Here is a 26,799-nt window from a genome sequence, read left to right as displayed (position 1 = left end):
ACTTTTTACTACAATACACAATTTACTAGAGAGAGAACTGCTCACTTGGAGATGATTAGCATCACAGGGAGTTTAAAGGAGATACTTGCAACACTTCAGCTCACTGTAATAGAAATAGGAGGTGACTATGAAATTATTACAGTAGTACAGTGTTTACTACACTAAACTCATGCAGTTATAATTTAATACTACATCTTTATGTTTGATTATATCACTCTCAACTGCAAATGGTGCTGTGTATGGTCTGTGTTTCTGCGTGTAAAGTTTGATCAATGTTAATATTTTATTAAAGATTTGTGTACAATTTATGGTAGTAAATGATAAAATAGACTAGTGTCTACATTTATTTTATGCATTCATGGCATACCTTTTTCTTAATAATTTCAATTTTTGTAGGCTACACAGTTTGTAAGTTTTTCCAAATTGTCAGAAATTTCAAAAAAATTTACAGTATTCATTGAAAAAAATCAACGTATAACTGGATCCATACAGTTCAAACCCATGTTGTTTAAGAGACAACCACAGTCTGAAAGCGAATGCTATTGTCAGAGCCTGAAATGCAAATGGAGACTTTCCAAGGCAGCCAAACTAGAACAGCACAAAGTTAAAGTAGATCCCAACTCAAACTTTCAACACTGATAATAATTTGCTGGTTTTCTATGAGAATAAAATACTTTATGGTTTTTCTGTCATTGAAGATGTTAATAAGTGTGTGTTGCTTAATTGAACTTTACTTTCCAAAAATATCATAGATGATTTATATATGCTAAATTGGTATCAAAGACTGAATGGAACAAAGTATATAAACCAAATTAGGCAAATTGTCACCTGAAACTAAACAATTAACTTGTCCTGGCTGTCTACAACCTCTACTCAGATAATAAAACCTGCTCTATGACCACCTTCCCTCAGGAAAGTTCTAAAAGTGAGTTCTTTCAATATCTTGACTTATGTTGCTGCACATGGGCTTATAGCAGGAAATTCACTTTGAGTAAATTTCTGAATAGCGAAAATTATTTCCAAAGCAATTTTTGGGAAATTGAACGCTTGATAAAACATTAGTTATTTAGTACAGAATGCTGCCTCGAACAGGTAGGAATAATTTCATCACTCTATGACTCATACAGGCATCAATTGTCAGCTCTATTACACAAGCCATAAAAAAGAAAAAAACAAAACAAAATATCTTCTCATGCAAGACATTAGGATTTAAATCTCCTGTAATTCAAATACTTTATACGTATTAAGCCATTTAAACTTCACAACAACGTTATTCATCAGGTGTCAATATCATCATGCTCATTTTGAAGATATTAAAATTAAGTCACAAAAGTTTTACATAACTTATTGAAGTTCTTATTGTCACTTCATGGTGTGAGTAGGCATTAAACCCTAATAGTTTTTAGCAAAAATAAGGGCATGAAACTAATTCCTTCTGTTGCCTCCCATGTACATGTTGCATAAATGCTTCTACCCTCACAGTTTCTAACCTGGGATTTAATATGACAGTATTTCTTATTTGGTAACCCCTCTGAATGCCTAGACATAAACCCAAGTTGTTAAGTTTCCACTGGGTCTAACCCAAATTCTCAACTTTATTCTAAACTTTAATATGCATCAGGATAAGCTAGCAGTCTACTGAAACATCCATTTTTGAGGCTTATTCCTGAAGTTTTGGATTCAGTAGGTCTGGGTAGGGCCTGAGAATGTGTATTTCCAACCAGTTCCCTGCACTGCTGCTGCTGCTGCTGCTATTGCTGCTGCTGCTGCTGCTGCTGTTTTAGTAACTACATTTCAAGATTGATTGGTCAAATTACCCAATTCGTTGCCTGTTAATAAACACAATATTTTGTAAAAGCATATGGTAAGGATAAGTTGTCATTTATCTTTAGAAATTGTGAGAACATATTTGTAAATTAAAGCCAATAATTGTTACTGATTTAATTTTTTATTAACTGAAAGTGAGTATCAACAGGGAGTAGTGATAGTGGTACTTTAATAAACACATAGGAGCTCAAATTAAAAACTTTGAGAACTCACATCTTATGGTCTTCACCTTTATATGTCAGAGGCATGCATGTGAATGCACACATGTGTGCATGCATGCACACACACACACCTATACACAAGTAAAAGTTTGGGAAAGTAAGACAAAAGGCTAACCTGAATATTGTTACAAATGTAGCTGCCCTGGGATACAAATAAATAAAAGCTATTGTCAAAAGTAATGCAATGGTCATTAGAAAGGTATTTACTTGCTTTCTTAAATTTTCTTATTTATACAAGTCACATTACACTGAATATCATGCCATTTTCTTCAAGAAATTTAAGAGATCTTAGCACTTAAGTATCAGCAGATAATTTGCAAATGGTGGTGATTTCACTGTAACTGTATTAATAGGGCATCTTTAACAGTTTATAATTACAGACTTCAAGTTGTGAATATAAACCCTCGTTATGGCATGTATTATAATTAATGTGTGCCAGATAATGCTATTTATTTGAACGTCCATTATTCATGGAACACTACATTGAGCAACAAGGAGAAGGAAAGATGGAAAATAGGGTTATTGACCACAATTTATTTTAAATTATAGTTGTAATGATGTAACAGTGCAAATAAATTGAGAAAAACTGAGTTCATCACACTTGAGAGAATGTATATTAATACTTGGTGATAAGGGATAGGAGATTAATCAGAGAAGGCTTTGTAGAGGACATAATTTTCAAACCAAATGTTTTAAGGTGTAAATTGGTTAAAAAGGAAGAAAACCATTTGAATAAAATATCTGATAATCCAATTTTCTCTGTAAAATTTCCCCAATCTATTATGGTATATATTGATTTTTGCTTTTCATAACTTAAATATCATAATTTGTAACAGAAAATTTGGTGCTTAAATATGTACTGTCTTGTATTGACTATACTATTTCCTTTTTTATATTCATATTTTTTTCCCAACGAAACCAAAAGTTTTTTGATGGCAGGCAAAAAGTTTTATGCATTTTCTTTTGGTATACCATAGCTAGCATAGGCAGTTACCACAAGAGTCAGGACATTCTAGGCAATTTAAAAACAAAGAAAGAAGTAAAAGCAGAAGAAGGAAGAGGAGGAGGAGGAGGAGGAAAAGGAGGAGGAGGAAGAGGAGGGGGAAAAGGAAGGAAGGAAGAAGAAGAAGAGGAAGAAGAAGAAGAAGAAGAAGAAGAAGAAGAAGAAGAAAGAGGAGGAGGAGGAGGTGGAAAGAAAAAATCAGCTCATGAATGATATCAAGACAGGAAACGGGCATTTAATGACTACTGTTTTGCAAGGGATTCAGACATTCCTACAAGGCTACATTGTAAGGTTGATGAAAACATCATTTAAGATGTAGCCTATCATAATTATTTGTACAAAAGTATTTTTAAAAGCTTTATTAAGTTTTAATTAACATACAGTAAACTGCACATATTTAAAATGCACAACATATGTTTTGAAGTATGTATACACTCATGAAACCACTACTACAGTCTAGACAGTGAACACATCCTGACCCTCAACAGTTTCCTTGCGCCTCTTTGTAATCCTTCACTCTCACTCTTGAACATTTTCATTTCTCAAGAAAGCATCGATTGGCTTTCTGACATAATAGCTTAGTTTTCAGGCTCTGGAGTTTTACATAAGTTGATTCATACAGTATGCATGCTTGTTTGGTATCTGGCTTCATTCACTCAGGATAATTATATGCATATTCCTCCATGTTGCTGCCTGTATCAATAGTTTATTACTTTTTACTGAGGAATAGAAATCTATTTAATTGGCTTGCTACAATTTGTTTATTAATTTTACTGTTGATGGACACTTGGGATGTGCCTAGACTTCAACTATAATAAAACTGCTATGAATGGGTCTGCACAAGTCTTTTTAGTTTCATTTCTCTTGGGTAAATGAATAAGGATGGAATGACTAGGTCATGTAGTAGGAGTAGGTTTAACTTTATTAGAAACTGACCAACTGTTTTCCAACATGTTCAATTTTACATTTCCACCAGCAGTGTAAGAGAGTTCCAGTTGCTCCACATCCTCACCAATACTTGATACAAAGAATCAATTTAATTTTAAGTATTCTAAATGTTATTTTATTTTGCATTTCCCTGATGATTAGTAATGTGCACGTTTTAATGTGCTTGTTTTTCATCCATATATCTTCTTTGTTGAAATGACTGTTCACAGTTCTTTTACCATTTTTAATTAGGTTGATAATTTTCTTCTGACACAGGTTTGAGAGTACTTTATATTTTCTGGATAAAAATTCTTTAGCAAATATGAGATTTTCAAATATTTCTCTTTCTTTGTGGTTTGTCTTTTCATTCTAAGTTTTTTTTTAAATTTTTAATTTGCGGGTATATAGTAGGTGTATATACTTATGGGTTACATGAGATATTTTGATACAGGCATATAATGCATAATAATCACATCAGAGTAAATGAGGTATCCATCACCTCAAGCGTTTATCCTTTCTTTGTGTTACAAACAATCCAATTATACTCTTTTAGTTATTTGTAAATGTGCAATAAATTATTGTTGAGTGTAGCCATACTGTTGTGCTAACACATGCTAGATGATATTCATTTTATTTATCTATATTTGTGTACCCATTAACCATCCTTACTTCCCCCCAGCCACTACCCTTCCCAGCTTCTGGTAGACATAATTCTACTCTTTATCTCCATGAGTTCAATTGTTTTAAATTTTTAGCTCTCACAAATAAGTGAGAACATGTGAAGTTTGTCTTTCTGTGCCTGGCTTATTTCACTTAACATAATAACCTCCACGTCTATCCATGTTGATGCAAAGACTGGATCTCATTCCTTTTTCTGGCTAAATAGTACTCCATTGTATATATGTGCCACATTTTCTTCATCCCTTTGTCTGTTGATAGACACTTAAGTTGCTTCCAAATCTCAGCTATTCTGAATAGTCCCACAATAAACATGGGAGTACAGACATCTTTTTGATGTACTCATTTCTTTCTTTTGAATGTGGATCTAGCAGAGAGATTGCTAAATCATATGGTAGTTCTATTTTTAGTTTTTTGACAAACCCTCTAACTGATCTCCATAGTGGTTGTGAGAAGGGACATTCTTGCCTTGTTCCTGATCCTTAAGTAAAAGCATTCAGTCTTATCATGTAGTATTATGCTGGCCATAGGTTTTTCAGATATGCTTTATTATGTTGCAACGCTTCTCTTCTAGTCCTAGTCTGCTGACAGTTTCTATAACAAGTAAATGTTAGATTTTGTCATATTATTCTTCCGCATCTATTGAGATACTTATATGATTTTTCTTTTTTAGTCTGTTAATATCATGAATTGCACTGATAGATTTTTGAATGTTAAACAAATCTTTCATTCCTACAATAAACCCCACTTGTTCATGAAATAGTATCCTTTTCGTATACTGTTGGATTTGACTCACCAAATATTCATTAAGAATTTTTACATCCATATTCATAAAGGATATTGGTGTGCAAGCTTTCTTCTCTTCAAATATTTGTTTCTGGTTTTGGTATCAGAGTAATTCCAGTTTCAAGGAATGAGTTGGGGTATAGTTTTCTCTCCTGATAATTGTTTTTGGAGTTTGTATAGAATTGGTGTTATTTAGTCCTTAAATATTTGGTAGAATTTCCTAGTGAAGCCACCTAAGCTTGGAGTATTCTTTTTGAGAGGATTTATTTTAGTAATAAATTCAATTTCTTTAAGTGATATAGGGCTACTCAAGCTATTTCTTCCTGATTGGACTTTGGTAGTGTTTTTTCTTCCAAGTAATTTGCATATTTCATCAAAGTTGTCAAACGTATACAGTATAAATATTAATACTCCCTTTTTATACTTTTAATATCTGTAGTGATATCATCTCTTAATCCAAATACTATTAATTTTCTTCTCTCTTTTTAAATCTTATCAGTTTGCCTAGAGTTTTACCAATGTTATTAATTTTCTCAAAATACTAGCTTTTGGTTTCACTAATTTTCTCCATTGTTTTTTGGCTTTTGATTTCATTGATTCACGCTCTAACTTGTATTACTTTTTTTCTTCTGCTTAATTTGGTTTTCTTTTGCTCTTCTCCTGGTTTCTCACTGTGGAACCTTAGATAGTTAATTTGAGATCTTCTTGTCTAATATTGTAATTTTATGCCATAAATTTCCCTATAATCACTGACCAGGGACCCTAGCCACCTTGACCTCCCTGGGCTCACAATTCCAGGAGATGAATTTACTACGAGGGCCCAATCATGCCCTATTTGGGTTCCCTCTCCCTGTGCTAAAGGATAGAAATTATATGCAAGCAATAAGCTAAGGCAATAGTAACTATTGTTTCATTTATGTTCTATTTCTTAAGTATCATTATTCATGTACATTTATGTATGATATGTTGAGAACCATTGTTTCATACATTTTGTTTGGTTTCTTTGTTGTTTCAGGTGAAGGGTAAATTCACTCCCTGACACTTAATCTTCACAAGAAATAGAAATTTCAAATGATTTCATTACTTGTACTTCTTTAAAAGTAATTATTACTTTAAGTGGCTTTCTGAAAAATTTTTAAACAGGACATTTTTTAATAACACATTCCATGATCAGATCATGTAAGTTATGTCTCAGAAATCATATGTTGTATTTCTGAGAAAGAAATATTTACAGGCATAATCTTTTTTTGCATCTTAATTGTCAATACCTTAGTTGCTCAAAAGAAAACATCTTTCTGTTGGGGAAAATCTTCCCCAAGAAAAAGCAAAATAGCTTTTGCTGATATATCCATGTTGAACAGAAATAGCAACTGTACTAATCCCAGGTGCATATGGTATGGACAGTTAGAGATCTCTTCAATAATTGAATTCTGAAAAAGTCAGGATAAAAAGCTTCCAGGACCCAAAGTAAAACAGTGAAATCAATTGTTTCTTTTCAGAGTGACAATTATCATTTCTCACATAATAGATGTTATTATCTCAAGTAGCAAAAAGCACATGGGGGTCTTGCAGGTAGTCTGAATAAACCTTTTTTATGAGTCTTTTTAAAATAAATTCCCTTAAAGCTTTAGAGGACAGCTCAGTATGCAATCAACTAGACTGCCCAAGTGCACATGAAAAATAAGAGATTTTGGCAGTAATCAAGCACTGCAAAAGCTTTTTTTTTTTTTAAAGCATCATTTATTTCAAAGTACAACACAAAGTTGTATTTTTAAGAAATACACATTCAATCTTGTATCTCAAGACTTGGCTATGAAGCACTGCAAAATCTTAAAACTGATTAACACAAGGTTTTTTATTACAGTTGTTTTTAAAACGATTTATGTAATTCAAATATTCAAAACGTTCCAGGGCTTTCAAGTCCATTGTTTGACCCTACTATGTTAGACTTTTAGGTCTAATATTAATCTCTTTATTTTTACGCTATAGTGAGTTCCTTAAGATATGGCCTTTGAAAGCATGCAATTATTAGCTGACAATATATCGGATATACATGCTCTAGTTTTTCAGATTATTAACACAGATACCTGAGAAGACTGATGAGAGACTTCATATTGGAATGTTTTATAATTCTTTATTGTATTACATCTGCAAATTATGAGATGAAGTTTTGGCATTTCTAATAATTTCTGTGAATTTTTCTTTTTTAAAGAGATTCTAACTCTTCAAATATTTATATGGGTAACAATATCTTCATTAAATATGGCAAAAGTACCTAAAAGTTTATACTCATTTAGGTAGTCTTCCTAGGGAGAGAAATAGGAACAGAAAATAAAAATTCCTAAGTGGCATTTCATCAACTGTTCTATCATTTTATTTTCCACTGTCTCTTTCTCTCTCTCTCTCTCTCTCTCTCTATATATATATATATATAGTTTATTAAAAATAATTGAAAATAATATGCTAGAGAGTAACATAATAAAGGGCACAAAATGCCCACATTACTCATTTTAGCAGATTGCATTTTCCAAAGATGACTAGAAACATATCTCCTAGAACCTTGCCATTCCACCATCAAAAGGTAGATAGAATCTGTGTTCCCCTTGAATATCCATGTTCCCCTTGAATCTCAGTGGACTTTCGTGACTGCCCAAACTAACAGAGTATAGCAGAATGATACCCTCTGAATTTCAATGCCAGGTCATAAAAATGCTGCACACTTTCACCTGCTTCTCTAGGATGTTCATCCTTGGATCTTTCAGCCTCCCTGTAAGCAATCTGATTACCCCGAGTCTACCATGCTGCAAGGAAGCCCAAACTACTCCACATGGAGAGGCCAGAAATCTACATGAACAGAATGCTTCCTTGCCAGTTTCCAACCATTTCAGCCACCTGCTGTTTTGACTGCAACCACAAGCCAGAACTTCCTGCTAAGCTACTTCTGAATTCTTGACCCACAGATACTGTGAGACATAATACAATGATTGTTGTTATTTTAAACCACTAAGTTTTAGAGTGATTCATTACATAGAAATAACCAGAGGACTCGTTTCTTTCATTATTTTAACAAATTGATATCTGAAAGGGATAACATGCTATAGAGGTTATAGTGTTAATGGCAGGTAACATCAATTATTAGCACTGTGGCATTAATTTCTCTGAGAAACACTTGACTACAGAGAGAAATAACAGGAGCAGGTTAGTTGTTATAGGAAAGTAGAGCTGAGGAAAATTATGGAACAATGGATGAAACTAACATAAGATGGCTTTGAGCAACCATGGGACAGCATGGGGACAAGTGCTAGATTAAGGGGTGTATTGGAGGCAGAGAAAAGCTTTGTCTGCTAAATCAAGGAGTTATTAAAGTATAAGTCAGGGTCATGCTGACTGTGGCATTTGCCATATTTGCAAAGCTTCCCAGGGCACAGTGACAATCTGGCTTCTATACTGCACAGGGATGAAATTAGAATAATATGAGAAAAAAATGGTGAGTTTCTTTTTCTCTCATTTGGCTGAAAATGTCATTTAAAATAAGTTTTGGTACCTAAATTAGAACGCTGCATTTCCTAAAATTTACTTGTTAAATTGCTGTTTCCCTTGATATTAGAATGATTTCACGTAGAGGGACTATCTTAATATTATGTTTGATTGTCACTTAAAGTTATAATACTTCTTTTTAAAATGTATATATAATGTCTGGAAAAAAGCAAGAGTTTTTGGCTGTTTCTATCATTTCCTTCCTGTTTTCATTTATATGATTGCAGATCAGAGAATATAAGGTGAATAAGGGTAAGAGTCATTGCTTCTAGAATTCTTGGGCATAGAATGTTGCCAAGTTTAGGAGTGTACAAGACCATCTCCAAATATGTCGATTGTTCAGTTTCTATCCTTCTCAACGAGTTATCTTTTTGTTCCAAGTAATTGCAGTATGTTGTATGTTCATTGCAGCACTATTCACAATAGCAAAAACACAGAGTCAACTTAGGTGCCTATCAATGGCAGACTGGATAAGAAAATGCATGGACTACCATGCAACCATAAAAAGAAAGAGATCGTGTCCTTTGCAGCAACAAGGATGAAGCTAGAGACCATTATCCTAAACGAATTAACACAGGAACAGAAAACCAAATATCTCATGTTCTCATTTACAAGTGAAAGCTAAACATTGAGTACATATAGACACAAAGAAGAGACAAGAGACAATGAGGCCCATTTAAGGGTGGCTGGTGGGAGAAGGATGAAAATAAAAAAACTGCTTATCGGGTACCATGCTTATTACCTGAGTGACAAAATAATCTGTACATCAAACCCTCATGACACATAATTTACCTGTATAACAAAACTGCACATGTACCCCTGAAAATAAAAGTTTTTTAAGAGAAGAATTGCAGTATCTTAATGATGGCACTCAAAGTGATGGTGATAAATAGTGTTATCATGTACTACATTGCTATCTTTTCTATATTAGGAGCTTAACTCTGCAATAAATTTTATATAAACATTATTTAGGATTGTCTATCTTCTTGTTACCTGAAGGCATTTGAAGAAAACTAGAAGGATGTCACCAAGTTATCTCAATAACTCTACAGATTGCTGTGACACTCTAAAGCTATAAGTGAAGGTAAATGTATCTGATCTATTAAGTCAGATTGTTCCCTCTATTGACGTGGAAGAAAGAGATTGCCAAATTGATTTATAAGTACTTTGGACACCATCAAATTAACTTATTGCCTTCCAGCAACAGGTTGTCAGGTTTACACAGAAGACCATGATTCCTGGGGTGGCCTCAAGCATGACCTGAGCAGTCTAGCCAACAGGGTAGGGCAAACATCAATTACTTGAGCATAACTTGTCAAAATCCTAACTGTACTAGAAATAGCACACTCCTACTCATCATAAAAAAGGATATGAGAGGATTTTTGTAATGCCTCCACCATTTATAAGCCAAGAGAGTCTCTCCCTATGCCAATCTCACCTTAACTCACCAGCTTAAAGCAGAACCACATAATCATTGCTCTTAAGATGATTTTAATAAAGAAATACAGAATATATTATATAGGCTTAGATCATGACCTAAAACTGCTCTCTGGAACACTGATTTATTGAATTGTATTTTTAACAGAATTAATTTTCCTGGATTGGTAATAAGTATGTTATTAAAGCCTGGAAAAAAAATTGAAACTGTGTAAAGTTATCCCATTTCATTCCCATTGTTGAAACAGAGAGAAATCCAGATATTTAACTGAAATGGATTCGACACTGTTAAAAAGCTGGTGAGTCTGATGATTGCAAATGTATCAGAGGGAGGTGGTCTTGGGGAGTGATTAATAACTTCCCTTGTCTAGAGGCACATAGTTGTAATCATAGTAGAAAGCCAGTATCTGTGGGTGCAGCACACCAGCATGGCACATGTATACATATGTAACTAACCTGCACATTGTGCACATGTACCCTAAAACTTAAAGTATAATAATAAAAAAATTAAATTAAATTAAAAAAAAAGAAAGCCAGTATCTGAAAGTCAAGGAAAATGGGGTAGATTGCAAGATAAATGCAGAACACTCTCCTATACACGGGCTCACCAAGTCACCAGTGAAGAGGCAGGTCTGAAAGCCAGCATTCAAGATGGATCTGAGGGTTTACTGATTCTTTATTCATCTTAGAGTGGTAGGTAAATGACAACTCCTATAGTTACCTCTCTTCCTTGTCTTGCAACAGTTTCAATCAATATCAGCCTGTCTAAGTAGTGTAACAGCAGAGAAAAAGATCACAGTCTGACAGTGTTTCAGATTAGTTTTTATAATATATCATACTTTTAATTGATTCTATATAAGAAAGAGCTTATTTCCATTTTAAAACAACAGCTTTAATATTTTCTGTTTACATAAGCATAGTGATGGCATTAAACAGAAAGAAATAGGCTTTCTCCCATTAAATCTCTATAAAGTATTTGTTTATTACAATGCACTTGCTTGTTAATTGGTTAGTTTCTTGCTTAAGCAAGCAGATAACCTAGAAAGGATAGTGTCATTACTCAGCAACTAAAGGAAGTAGCTGTAAATGTATTACCGATTTCAAGTTATTGGTCTTTCCCTGTGGTTCCAATGACTAGACAATCTGAATCCTGAGAGAGGAAACACGACCTGTTTGACAGATCTAAAGGACATAATACCACTTAAAAAGAGCTAAAGCATTTATTAAAATCAAACAGTATTAAGTATCCCCTTCATCATTTCAGTGTTGCTGTCATTCTTTGCTTTCAAGCTATTTTCCTCAGTCTCTGTCATACTTTTGTCCTTAGAATGACAATATTCCCCTGGCAATAGACTTTATGAGTGTTGATAAGAGCGTTATTAATAATAGTATTATGATAGCAATTGAACTAGTATTGTTACCTTGGAAACACTTCTTGTAACTACTCATCTTTGTCAAGAAATATTTGTAGAGTTATCTGTTTATAAAATATGTCATATATGTTTGTACTGAGATGAGTAGAAACATGATCAAATTACAGTAAATAAGATATAAAGACTTCATAAAGCCATAGACTATACCCGAGTCCCTACGATTAAGCCCACTTCTTCCTATTTTCCTTGCATACACTCAACCCTTCAGCTTCAATTTCATCATCTGTAAACTGATGATAAAAATAACTTTTTTCTCTGATTATTTTGAATTGTATAAAATAAGGAATGGAAAGTACATTGTAAATACTGAGTCAATATCAGTTAATTTTGTTTTGGTTGTTATTTGTGCTTTTTCTCATGCATATTTGATTCAGTCACCTGTCCATTTGGAGAATATTGCATATAATTCTGGGAAATGTTATAGTAATTATCTAAGAACAAGTTAGTTATATTCAAGGTAATACTGAATATTTAGTACTCTTTGTTTCTTGTAAACATGTGTATGTGTGCATGTGTTAAGTATGTAAGATCAAATTCCTAAAATAGGCTACGGAGTAAATTAGCCATTAGAGAATATCAGCAGAAAGTTAGACAGACATTAATTATAATTTAAAAGGCTGTATACCAGCAAAGTATATACGTTTCTGCTGGAAAAGCTTTAAAAATAGAAAATATTTTGTATGCTCTACGTGCACTTATGTGAAAGCTGCATGTAATATAGTCAAAAATCAAAACAAGAAAACATAATGGTTGAGAAATTAATATAAACTAAAAATAAAATGTTAAGCATTACCACTGAATGAATGGACCTTCTCTTGGCCAAGGGTACCCCAGAAAAACAACTTAAAAACAGTCCTCAGGCATGATGAGATGGGAAGTCAGTCACTCCTCATTATACTTCCTTCCTTTTGGGGTGTAGACGCAATTGACCAGCATTAATGTTAAAATTGAGATCATAAGATGACAGAAGAGACTCTTTGTGGTAATAAGATACCAAATTATCCATAGGATCTAAGGCCTTAGCAGGCAAGGGTTAATTAAGACTCTTAAACTTAAAGAATAAATTATGTTTTAACCTTCCACAAGGTTTTTATTTTTCTCTAGCAGCTAAACAAGCACTGGCCATGAGATAAGCAATATTAAAACAATTACACGGCCGGGCGCGGTGGCTCACGCCTGTAATCCCAGCACTTTGGGAGGCCAAGGCAGGTGGATCACAAGGTCAGGAGATTGAGACCATCCTGGCTAACATGGTGAAACCCCGTCTCTACTAAAAATACAAAAAAAAAATTAGCTGGGCATGGTGGCAGGCGCCTGTAGTTCCAGCTACTCGGGAGGCTGAGGCAGGAGAATGGCGTGAACCAGGGTGGCGGAGCTCGCAGTGAGCCGAGATTGCGCCACTGCACTCCAGCCTGGGCGACAGAGCGAGACTCCATCTCAAAAAAAAAAAAAAAACAAAAAAAAACTTACAGTTCAGCTCACAGATACTGACTAACCGACCTCCTGTTCCACAAGCCATAACTATAGCTTTGATTGTACAAGACAACTGATTTCAGGACTTTCTCCTGATAAGAAGCCCACTAACCACAGACTGATTCTGGCAACTTTACAGAGGCTGTAAGCTTCTATGTCTTCATGTCCAGAAAAGCCCCTTTCATGTGTAGGTCCCAATTGTAATACATTAAAATGTTAAGGTCTTCGCCCCAAAGTGAACATGGGTCATATGTTACATGCATGTTTGTTCAATAGATGTGTCAGGATCTTCATAAATATTCATAGCTCCTCCTGTAACCTGTTGAATATGTATGTTTAGCCAATCTGTTCAGCATAACGCTCCTACCCCAATCCCTCTTCTTTAAAGTGCCTGTCTCTGGTCTTTGCAGGAGGCACGCTTCTCAGCCTGCAGGATGGACCCCTTACAGGCTGTAACCCCTTATAAAAATAAATCTTCCTCTCCTTTTCTAAATTTATAAATTGTGTGGGTTCTTTAATTAACGTGAGTATACAAGATTGTAAGGAAAATTTGTCCTTTCATTCCAGTATCTTCAAATATTGTTATAATTCATTATGTGCAATGAATCATAATAACTTTTTAGAACTGTATTTAGACACTATTTATTTGCTAGTGGTAACAGTAATCCTAGTGATTTATGGATCATATATCCTTCATATTATTGATTTAGTTGAAAAAAAGTATGTGTTTGTGTGTGTGTGTGACAGAGAGAGAGAGAGAGAAAGAAAGAGAGAGAGAGAGATCATGAGATCATTGTCCATTTGTTAGATCTGCCTACTTCCTTTCTATACTAAAATTCCAGAACAGGAGCAGAGACAGGTAATACACATTTCAGCAGGATTCTATTAACAGATGAAAAACTCAGAGGCATGTGAGCTAGAACTTTTGTCTACTATAATGATTGCTAATATATTTTATTTTTCTCACTAGCCGATTGCCACAGACACATGCTCCATTTGTGTACTGTACACAAATCTGAGCAGTATGAGACAAGGTAGAATGAGATGTTATTGTCTTTGTTTCAATGTGTAGAAGAATATCATATCATATAGGATTCTGGTAATCAACCCCAAACCCATTAACTGTGGTAGCATTTTGGTTGGGCATGGAAGCTTTAATTAACTTACTGAACATACATGAACATTGATTAGAATTATACCATGATGCTCAGCAAAATGATAAAGGAAACTGTGTAAGATTAGCAGTGTTATAAATGAATGGTGATATGTTAAAGAAAATTCTGTGTCCACTAGCAAACAAACTGAAAAGATCTTGATCTACTTATCAGTATTATTTTACATTTATAAATTTTAATTTATCATTGATGATAATAATAGCAGCTCTGTCTATCAAGTACTCATGAAATGCCAGGCCACGTGTAAGCACTTTATATATATAAAATCTCATTTCACTCTCCTGATAATCCTATCTGAGTTAGGTGTGCTTATCTGCATTTCACATAGAAGATAATGAAGGCAGGCTGGATGCAGTGGCTCACACCTGTAATCCCAGCAATCTGGGGGACCAAAGCGGAGGATCACTTAAGCCTAGGAGTTTGAGACCAGCCTGGACAACATAGTGAGACCCTGTCTCTACTAAAAATTAAAGCAAAAAAAGAAACAATGAAGGCATATAAGACTTTTAATTCTACGGCCGTGGTCTCATTCCCATTAAGTAGAAGACCAGGTATTAGAATTCAATCCAAATTATTTAATTTTATCTTTTGTTCTCTTACTGAATGTCTAAAACCTTAAGTTCAAAGTATTCCTGTATCGATCTTTGTTTATCTTGAAAAATCAAAAATTAAATTAATAATTTTGCAAGACAGTCTCAAGACATATACTGTGGACACACATATATAATAAATGACCAATTGATAGAGGAAGATGAATTCCACTACCCACTCTCAAGATAAAGATAATCAGGATCCCTGCTTAAAGTTCACCAAACATGAACAAAAGGAAAGAAAATCCAGGTGGTTATCTAAGATATCTAATTACTTTCACAAAACGTTTTGATAGAGAATGAAATCTTTTGGTTTACTTTACAGTTGTGCCCATATAGCAATGAGGCTGCTTGCAAAATGCTTGCAAAATTGGACTATTTTTAGAGAGAATTTACATTATTTGAATAAAGTAACAATACGTACTTTATTCTGTGAGAAAAAGTTGCTATATAAAGACAGTCATAGTTAGTTTAAACAAATAAGACTTTTTCATGTTATAATGCTGGTGAAATCGCTAAATGACTATGGATTTCCTTTATGGTTTTTAAGGATGTTAACAGCTTCCCAGTCCTCTAACTAATTGATCAGTAAGATTGATACAAAAGTGACAATTACAGAATTGTTTGCCTTTACCTTGGATGGTATTCTTTTAATTTTGTTCTAGACAAGCCAATTTTCCTATGATTAGAAAGACAGTGAAACAGTTATTGAGATTTTATGTAATCAGACATGAAACAAATCTATTCCCAGGCTAAGGTGCTTTGAAATAATAATGGTGCTGTCCTACATCCATGGAGATGATGTCAAGCACTGACCTCACACCAGTGCAAGAGTAAAAAATATCTCATAAGAGAAACAAAGGGTTTATGCAGTTGTGGCCTGTATTTTTTTTAATCACAAATCTCAACTACCCAGTATCTGTATTTCAAAAAAAAAGTCTGAGCTTTGCTGTGCAATCACAGAGAGAAAAAATTTGAGGGAAAAACTGCTTCCTACTGACTATTTCTATTTTTGTCTTTGTGTTTGCAAGTGAGTTTTGATTGCTGGATTGTACAGGCAAGACTTTTCTGGTTGACACTGTAGAAAAGCATGGCAAAAATCAAGTTTAGCTACAAAATATGGAAGTCTCAGGAATGTGGCAAATCCCAAATCAGAGGATAAAAACAGAGTAATTTTGAAATGTAGGTAGGCAATAAAAATATAAGGAAAACACTTTCATCCAGATAGTGTATTTTGATAGAATGAATTTATTCAAAGAGGTATTTTTTCCATGGTAATTGTGGTGCAAATTTGATTTGACTTAAATTTTTTTTAGGAACAAATAAATATGGCATTAGAATATTATACAATTAAAGATAAAAGAAGCTAAGAAACAACAAAAATAAGTAAATGATAATCTTACATTTTTAGATATTACATTACTATTACTACTACTATTGTTACTACTTCTACTATCAGTACTACTAATAACAATAACTAACATTTAATAAAAATTACTGTATGTTGAGGTCTTTTAAGTCTAACATTATACTGAATGCTAACAGTAATCTGAGAAGGTAATTATTATTCTTCTCATTTCTAGTTTGGTAAATTGAGTTTTAGAGAAGTTATGTAACTTGCTAAATTTCAAACAGTTAATAAATGTGATATCCAGGATCTAACCTCAAGTATGTATAACTCCAAATCTGTGAGCTTGTCTATTACACTAAATTGCTTTTTACACTTAAATATTAATGACCGAAAAAAATCTGTTAGAACTGCTTAGATTTGCTATGAATTTTAAATCTTGGTTCAAAATATGCTATAGATTTATTCCCCACATTTGTACCCAATCATTCCAACTGAGAAATAGTTGAGATATTGTACGTACCACTGGAAAGTATTATCAACAATTGTTGTCAAGTTTATGACTCTGTACTGATTTTAAAATACAATGTGCATTGAGAAGCAGCATTACAAAAAGAGAGAAAGATAGAGAAAGAGATTAAAAATAATTATTCAAAGAAGCATTATTTTAACAAACAGAAAGGTTCATATTTGTCTAGCCTACAGTTTTGGGACTCCTTAAAGAAACTGGTAGAATAATGAAGAAATTTGGAGAAGGAATGTGGAAACACATATTATAGATAAAGAGAGGATGAAGAAGGACTCTCTAAAGACAAATCAAACTATTTTGGTCTATCAGTATGTCTTCATTCAAATTGAATGCAAATGTTACTCCAAGCAGGGATGGGGGGGTGGGAGGGGACAATTTCACAAGCTATAACACATTCTTTTTAGTTAACATTTCTTCACTCTTGTCCGCATCATATTTCCACTCTCTAACTCCAAAGTTTAAAAACGAACAGTTTTACAAATTACTTTCTGTTTTTTTCCCCCTTGACCGCAATTTTTTTTGAAAGTACGTGTTTGGCTGTCTTTAAGACATAAATATTTTAATTCCATTTTGGCTCTGGAGACCTTAATTCAGCTTTTCAATGTAGAAAGGCACAGTGAATAAATGTCTATCATGCATTGGTTCTTTAATGACTACAGGGGCATTATGAGATTAAAAATTCAGAAAGGAAGTTGCTTGGTTTTTAGCAGATGCAGGGCGAGAAGTTTCCAAAATCTACCAAATCTAAATCCCTTTGAACTTGAAATACAAAGTAAATTCACTTTTCTCAAAAGTGTTTCTGATACCAGTGTCAGAGCAGTTTTGACCCCAGTAAGTTATTTGTAAAGAGTTCTAAATTAAATAAACAAATAACATAAGGTCAATAACAGAAAACATTTCCTGACCTTACTGTTTTCATAATTTCATAATAGGGTCTTTCAAAATGACACTAAAAATTCCTAATGTTTAATTAAATTTCTAAACTGAATTAATTATTGGATAAATAATCACAGATAATGTCTTTTATGAAAAAAGTGTCCAATTATTTTAAGAAGAGATAAATAATACATCATATTTTATATCATCTTGGATATAAAGAAGATGCTAATTGGGGAACTCCTTTTGAAAAATAAGTTTTGACGAACTGTTTAATAAATCAAATGCAGCATTCACTGGTCTGTTTAGAGAGATCACTACATTTCTCAGCATCTTATGCGATTTTATGCTTTCACGGTTTTCCCAGACAGTTATTTCTACAATATTATTTGCCTAGCATTTGGCAAATTCTAGGCAAAACATTAAATATATTGTTTTATAATGTATAATTTATTTGCCTTTCTCCTACACTAAACTGTGAGTTCACCTAAAGCAAGCCACCATGACCTGCTTCTAGCACAATTGTACATCTAGCACAATTGCCGGCACAAAGATTGTTCAGAAAATGTGATGGTTAAAGCATATGGGGTTGAATACTTGCCTTGACTTCAGAAGAGCACTGATAATTTGTTCTATTAATGTAATATTCATGTTGAATTCATTTGCCAAGTCCATCTGAATAAAAATATAAAAATGAAATATATTCTTGTTTTGGTCATTATACTTGTATTAATTGAGTAATTTCCCAACTCTTCATATGGTTTCAGTTAAAAACATACAGCCGCAATAAGTGAAGAACAATGCTCTAAGATTAAATAATTCAGGCCAGGGGTGGTGGCTCACCCCTGTAATCCCAGCACTTTGGGAGGCCAAGGAGGGCAGATCCCTTGAGCCCAAGAGTTCAGGACCAGCCTGGGCAACATGGTGGGACCCCATCTCTACATAAAATACAGAAATCAGCCCAGCATCATGGCATACACCTGTAGTCTCAGCTATTCAAGAGGATGATGTTGAGGATCGTTTGAGCACAGGAGATCAAGGCTATGGTAAGCTGTGATTGGATCACTGCACTCCAGCTTGGGTGAAGGAGTGAGATTCTGTCTCCAAAACAAAAAAAACTTAAATAATTTGATCATTTCTATCATTTCTATCAAGGATGTTATGGTTTAAGGTCACTTTTCTGAGGCCAGAGAAGTGAGATGGGACTTCCAAAATTATTCACATGGCTCCAGTCAATAAATAAGCAAGCAAGCAATCTAGCTAGCAAACAAAAGAAACAACAATAATTTTAAAAACCAGCTGTAAATAAAAGAAGGTTTTAAATATCTAAACTGTCTCTGTGTTGATTAAAATTTAATGGATAGATGCCAATCCTCCAGTGCACTTTATGCTATATAGATCTGGCAGGAGTAAATAGCACATGTTACAGAATATCTTAATAAGACATAGAGTATGTGGCTAATATTACAGTGCGTCTATGAGCATCTGTAAAAGTTTAAAGATTTGAAAGTTGTTTAGTGTTTCAACTTGCTTAGGGCCCTCTGGGAGGTGCACATATTGATTGCACTTTTCTTGTGGCATTTACTTCACAGGGACATTGATGAAGATTCTTAAAATTCATGCTAGAACTTGAAAGGGAAATAAATGAAATGGAAACTCAAATCATAACATATTGTTAAGCGTTCAAATTTAAACATATTGAAATCCAAACCTGTAGAGGCTTGCATAGTAATATTAACTTCATCTGGTCTTCAAACATTGTACTTTTAAATCTTCACAGACTAGAAAACAATCTTACTGACCTATTTATGTTATTAACCTTGATCCTGTATATCAATGTTTTAGATATCCCACAAAACTTGCAAAAAACAATCCAGTGCTCTATGTTGATATGCAGCCCTGTGCCGCTCAATGTTTTGGTCAGCGACAGATTACATATATGACTGTGGTTCCATAAGATTATAATGGAGCTGAAAAATTCTTACTGCCTAGTGACTTCGTAGCCATCATAATGTTGTAGTGCAATGCATTACTCGTGTTTGTGGTGATGCTGGTGTCAACAAACCTATTGCACTGCCAGTCATATAAAAGCATAGCATATACAATTATGTACAGTACATAAGACTTGATAATAATAATTAACAATTATGTTACTAGTTTATGTATTTACTATATTACAATTTTTATCATTATTTTAGAGTGTACTCCTACTTTGGAAAAGAAATTAGTTGTAGAAGAGTCTCAGGCATGTCCTTCAGGAGGTGTTTCAGAAGACGGCATTGTTATCATAAGAGATGACAGCTTCATGCATACTATTGCCTCTGAAGATCTTCCAGTGAGACAAGATGTGATATTGATGATCCTGACTGGGTGTAGGCCTAGCTGAACATATGTGTTTGTGTTTTATTTTTTAACAAAACAGTTTAAAAAATCAAAATGTTAAAAACAGAAAAAGTCTATAGAATGAGAATAAAAAGAAATAAAATATTTTTGTGCCCCTGTACGATATCTTTGTGTTTTAAACTAAGTGTTATTACAAAAGAGTTCAAAATATTTAAAAATTACAAAATGTATAAAGTAAAAAATTTACAATAGGCTAAGGTTCATTTATTATTGAAGAAAGAAAAATAGACTTCCTTCGATTTAGTGTATCCTAAGTGTACAGTGTTGATAAAGTCTACAGTAGTGTACAGTAGTGTCCTAGGCCTTCACATTCGTTCATCACTCACTCACCCAGAGCAACTTCCAGGCCTGCAAGCTCATTCATGGTAATTGCCCTATATGAGTGTACCATTTCTTCCTTTTTATACCGTATTTTTACTGTACTTTTTCTAGGCTTAGATATATAAATACTTACCATCATATTATATGTGTCTACAGGTTACAAATATATACATTAACATGCTGTACAGATTTGTAACCAAAGAACATTAGGCTATATAATACAGCTTAGGTGTGTAGTAAGCTATACCTTCCAGATTTGTGTAAGGACATTCTATGATGTTCTCATAACAAGGAAATCACCTAACAATGCGTTGCTCAGAAAGTATCTCCATCATTAAATGACACATGACTGTACTTAATAAACCTGCACAACAAACACTACTGGGCGTGTGTCAGTACAATTTACATGAAAATTTTACAGTTATAATTTGTTCAAGAAAAAATTACATAGAAGATATTCAAATGTAAGGACCACAAGAAACAAATTGTATCTTTTCTTTAATGTGAAGGAAGTGTATAATGATGGAAAGAGTATAGGTATTTGGCCAGATGTAGGTTTGTCTTCTCTATCAGTCATTGACTAACTGTGTGACTTTTGCCCAGTTACCTATTTTCTCTAAGGCTCTGTGTTATCATCTGCAGACAAAGTTAAAAATACCTACCTTCAGGTATAGTACATTGCAATGTCCCTGTTACATAGTGGGGACTTAATAAAAGTTAGCTGCCTTCTTTCTTACAGAAAAAAAAAATGTACACATTTTGTGGAATTACAGACTGAAGAAATGTCATCTTTATCCCTGCTTTTTACTATTGTCACTGAGACTGCTTTGCTCTTCTCAGATTAGGACTAATGAAAAAGCTCCTGTTACTAGGAAAACATGGGCAATTGTTAATACATAATAATCTAGCCATTAATGAAGAGACTATTTTATAGGAAATAAGAGCATCAGGGAAATCAAGCAATTAAATTATTATTAATAGTTTCAGGTACTAGACTAAGTGTCTACATGACCCCAAAACACACTGGGCAAGCCTCTATTCCTGAACAGGAGTTAGTTATTTTAGGCCTTCCGTGTATCCTGGTTAATTCTTCTCATTCAGGGTACATAGTTTAAAAAAAGAACTCGTGCTAGTAGGGAAAATGATCGAAAATAAAATAGTAAGTTGAAACAGTGGAAAATGACACTTTTCAAACAGCATTCACTTGAATATAAATTTAAAACTGTAAAAATGATTTGTGGCTGGTAAAAATAAAAACGCATTCAAATTTCTAAGGTTTTAGTAAATGCTTGCCATTTCTACAATTGGAAAACAATTTTAGATAGGTACTTGTCCTTTTTGCATGTGTTCTTGTGTAGTAATATTTATGAAAATAATGGAGTATTTACGTCAGTGATATTATTAATCTGAGTAGTACATTAGTCAAAACCTTTTTCCCACGGGAACCAATCTCTTACTTTAACATGTAAGTTAATATAAAAATCGTATTATTACATTTTGATAAATTTGAAAGAATGTGGCACCGAAATAAATCTATTTAATTAAATAAGGAACACATATGCTAATAAATTTTTTTCATACTACATACTAAATCCCTCCTTGAACTTATTTTACAGTGATATTAAGTGTCTCTCAAATTTCCTATTTTGCCCTACAAGTTATCTAAAGGCTATAATTATTCCACTGTATCATTTTTAAAAGGTAATCAACTATGTTTTGTGAAAGAAAAATAAAATAGAAAAATTAATTTATCATGGAACAGTTTCATTACCACCAATGGAAAAAGTCAATGCATAGACACGTCTGGCCAGGGCATTCTTTGGCACTGCAATGATGCCAAATTTGGTTATGCTAAATAATTTTAAACCAACAGTGTATCTAACAATGCTTATTTACTCTACAGAATACATATACTTAATTTTCAAAAGATCATCTTTTTCTTACCCTATTCTCTCAAAAATAGTAACTAATGTTTCTTTTCTTTTCTAAAAAGTCATAGAAACTATCCTCTTCTATTAAAAAAACTTAATATCCTACTGCTTCCTTATCATATATTCCATTTTATCTGTATTGTAATAAACAAAGAGGAAAAAGGACAGTATCTTTTTATTTCCATTTAATATAAAATCATAGAATGTCCCATGTTAAAATTATAAAACTGAATATCACGGACAAATTTGTAGCACACACACTGTAATTGCTTACTTTCTGGAGTACATGAAGTAAGCACTAGTAGTGAGGGAAGATAAGTCCTGTGAGCTACTGTGGAAAAAAAAAAAGCAAACATTTAATTATATTTCATTCTTTGAGAATTAACTTTCAATTGCCAAATGTGGTGGCTTCTCAAGCAAACATTTAATTATATTTCATTCTTTGAGAATTAACTTTCAATTGCCAAATGTGGTGGCTTCTCATTTTAACTGAACAATGTCAATCTGATATATTTGACTACTTGGGTTTTGGGGGGCTTTTTTCTCTCTTTTATTTGAAGAACTAAATATACAAATAATAATTACCTGTGGTGATGGCACATCAACTAAGATTACAAAGTTATCATAAAAAAGAGAAGAAATATTAAAAGCAAATATTTACCACTTAGAATCTAACACTGACAATTAACTAGTGCAGAACACTTCCAGTTTTATAAGGCTGACTCTATGTCAAAATGGATTCAAGGTGAAAAATAAAACTGACTTGAAAGCAGAAAACAGTCTACCATAACTGAGTGTCTTTTATGTATGAGGTGAGTTTTATGCATTATTTCCTACTTTATAAATCATCGAACGATTGGTATCATCCTCATTTTACATTTCTATTGTTCTTAAATGTTTTATATATCAAAGTTATTCTCCATCCGTTTCTCATCTAATAGAAATTAGATAAACTGGAAATTTAGTTGAGGTCAAAGTCACTGTACATAAAATCATTTGGGTTACTCGGAAAACTCAAAGCCTGAGAAATTCATTATTTGACTAACTCATTGATCTAATGTCTTATTATATATCAAACTGCTCAGGTTATTTTACTCAGAGTTTCAGGTGAACTAGGACTTACAAATAAAATCTACAATGCGCTACATTTACGAAAACGAAATCTACATTTTAACTATTTCTCAAAATTTTGTAAAAGTGTTTTACTGGAAGAGAGTTCATATGCTCTTGAGGAGATAACACTTATCCTCATCATTTTTGCTTTTCACTCATACCTGAGAATGAATGGAATAAATATTTTAAAATTACCATTTAGAGGCCAGTGGGGTGGCTCAAGCCTGTAATCCCAGCACTTTGGGAGGTCAAGGCTTGCAGATCACTTGAGGTCAGGAGTTCGAGACCAGACTGGCTAACATGGTGAAACCCCATCTCTACTAAAAATATAAAAATTAGCCCAATGTGGTGGGGGGCACCTGTAATCCCAGCTACTTAGGAGGATAAGGCAGGAGAATCAATTGAACCTGGGAGGCTGAGGTTGCAGTGAGTCGAGCCTGGGCAACAGAGCAAAACTCCATCTCAAAAATAAAATAAAATACAATAAATAAACAAGTAAATTACCATTTAGAAAAAACATGATGTTAACACAAAGAAGACTAAGTAGGGGCACATGTTTCCAAAAGAAAAAGATTTTAGAATGCGGTGATGTTGACAAAATTAAAAGTTCTATTCCCAAATTTAATTAAACATAAATTTTCAGCCTGATCTCTTTACTGGTCTGCATTTCAACCAGAACAGAAAAGCAAAACATGAGCGAATACCGGACACGGTGGAGAAAATTGTTTAGAATCAGGTAATAAAGGAAAGTTGAAGAGAGTAGTACATAGGAAACAAAGGCATAACAAAAACAGCAACAGAGTGAAGCAGGTGGTGAAAAACAGAGCAAAAAAACCCGAGTAAGAAAACAAGAACGATGGTTAAACTGAAGGAAATAGAAACTAGAGTATCTGGAAATTGAACCAAACTTTTCTTTTCCTTAAAAAATTAATAATGCAATTGTAAAAGTGTCATTCTATACCAACAAGGAAGAGATGTTTGAAAAGCAGCATACAGCAAATCTAGATCAGTATTAAATAGAAAATTACTGCTATACAGGTAGTTGTCTCTTGTCCCTGCTATCACTGGCTTGGGGGAAATGTCTCCGGCAGTGAGAGATGCACCACTAGAAAGTGATTTCCTTTGTTTCCTCAGTGGAGGGAAAATCCCATTTAATTTTAGAATTGGTAGAAGTTACAGGTCTGAGTTTGTTTTGTTGTAAATTTGTTTCTTTCATTGTGAAAAAATATAACATAAAATTTACAATTTTAACCCATTTTAAGTGTACACTTCAGTAGCATTAAGTACATGCACATTGTTGTGAAACTGTCATCACCATCCATCTCCAGAATTTTTATCTTTCCAAACAAAACCCCCAAAGCCATTAAACAATAATTCCTCACTCTTTCCTTCCCTCCAGCCCCTGGCAACAACCATCTTACTTTCTATTTCTAGGAATATGACTAATCTAGGCACCTCTTTAGGTGGACAACGTGGAATCATCCAGTATTCGTCCTTTTGTGAATGGTTTAATTCACTTAGCATAATGATTTCAGGGTTCATTCATGTTGTAGCATATTGCAGAATTTCCCTCATTTTTTAAAGCTGACTGATATTCTACTGTATATGTATATACCACACTTTGCTTATCTGTTTATCCATCAATAGACACATATATTTCTTCCATCTCTTTGCTGTTATGAAAATGTTGCTATAAATATGGATATACAAATATCTGTTCAAGATGCTGCTTTCAATTCTGTAGCATTTATACCCAGAAGTGGATGTGTTGGATCATATGTCAGTTCTGTTTAATTACTTGAAGAACCATTCATTATCTCAGTTTCACAACAGCTGCACTATTTTACATTCCAACCAACAATGCACAAGGCTTCCATTATCTCCACATCTTCACCAACACTTGGTATTTCCTTTTCTTTTTTTAGTAATAGCCTTTCGAATCGGTGAGAAGTGGTTTCTTGTTGTGGTTTTAATTTGTATTTTTCTAATAATTAGTGATATTGAATATCTCTTAATATGCTTATTAGCAATTTATATATTATCTTTGGAGAACTTATTCAAGTCCTTTGTCCATTTCTTAATCTGAGTGTTTAGTTTTGTTGTTGTTGTTGTAGGAATACTTTAGCTATTCTGGATATCAACTCCTTATGAGATATATGGTTTGCAAATACTTTCTCTAATTCTGTGGGTTGCTTTTTCACCCTGTCGACAGTGTCCTTTGATGCACAAAAGTGTTTGTTTAATTTTAATGTATTATTTTTGTTACCTGTGCTTTTGATTCCATATCCAAGAAATCATTATCAAATCTAATGTAATGAAGCTTTTCCCCTATGTTTTCTTCTAACATTTTTATATATTACCCCTTATGGTTAAGGTCATTGATTCATTTTGAATTAATTTTTGTATATGGCATAAGGTAAGAGTCTCACTTCATTATTTTGCATGTGCATATCCAGATTTCTAACACCACTTGTTAAATAGACTGTCTTTTCCCTATTCAAAAGTCTTGGTACTCTTGGCGAAAATCATTTAACCATATACATGATAGTTTATTACTGGGATTTCTATTCTATTCCATCGGTCTATATACCTGTATTCATACCAGCACCCACACTGTTTTGATCACTATGGCTTTGTAGTAAGTTATGAAATCAGAAAGTGTTAGGCCTCCCACTTCGTTCTTTTTTAAGACTGTATTAGCTATTCAAGGTCCCTTGAGATTCCATATCATTCTTAGGATGTATTTTTCTAGTTTTGCAAAAAGTATTATTGGGATTGATAGGGGTTGCACTGAATATGTAGACAGCTTTGGGGGGTATTGACTTCTTAATAACACTAAGTCACTCAGTTCATAAACACAGTATATCTTTCCATTTATTGGTGTCTAATTTCTTTCAGCAATATTTTGTAGTTTATAGTCTACAAGTCGTTCACCTCCTCAGTTAAATTTATTCCTCAGTATTTTAATCTGTTTGAGGATATTTTAAATGGTATTGCTTTCTCAAATATTTTTGTGTGCTCATTTTTAATGTATAGAAATATAACTAATTATGTTAATTTTATGTCCTCCAACTTTACTTGTAATGTATTACACTGATTTTTAGTTCTAAGAATTTTGTAGAACTTTCACAACTTGAGGCACTTAAATAATTGTTATGATTGCCATGAGACCTTCATGCAAATGGAGAAAA

At 33.4% G+C, this 26,799-nt stretch overlaps 1 protein-coding gene across 14 annotated transcripts in view; it reads right to left on the bottom strand.

The window, feature by feature from the left end:
- PCDH11X (protocadherin 11 X-linked) overlaps window positions 1–26,799 on the bottom strand; it is an 843,856-nt gene that overhangs the window by 288,732 nt on the left and 528,325 nt on the right. The window contains exon 4 of one of the 14 annotated variants that reach the window (XM_017029421.2): window positions 14,379–18,515. The exons of the other annotated variants lie outside the window; for them this stretch is intronic. Within the exon in view, the coding sequence (XP_016884910.1) occupies window positions 18,399–18,515 (117 nt within the window). The 3' untranslated portion in view covers window positions 14,379–18,398. Of the gene's footprint in view, window positions 1–14,378; window positions 18,516–26,799 lie in introns of those variants that run through there. 14 annotated transcript variants of the gene reach the window in all.

The sequence above is a fragment of the Homo sapiens genome, chromosome X (assembly GCF_000001405.40).
Source record: "Homo sapiens chromosome X, GRCh38.p14 Primary Assembly".
In the NCBI taxonomy this organism is placed as follows: domain Eukaryota; kingdom Metazoa; phylum Chordata; class Mammalia; order Primates; family Hominidae; genus Homo; species Homo sapiens.
Note: the sequence above shows the minus strand (reverse complement) of the source record. Positions and strands in the feature narration are given on the sequence as shown.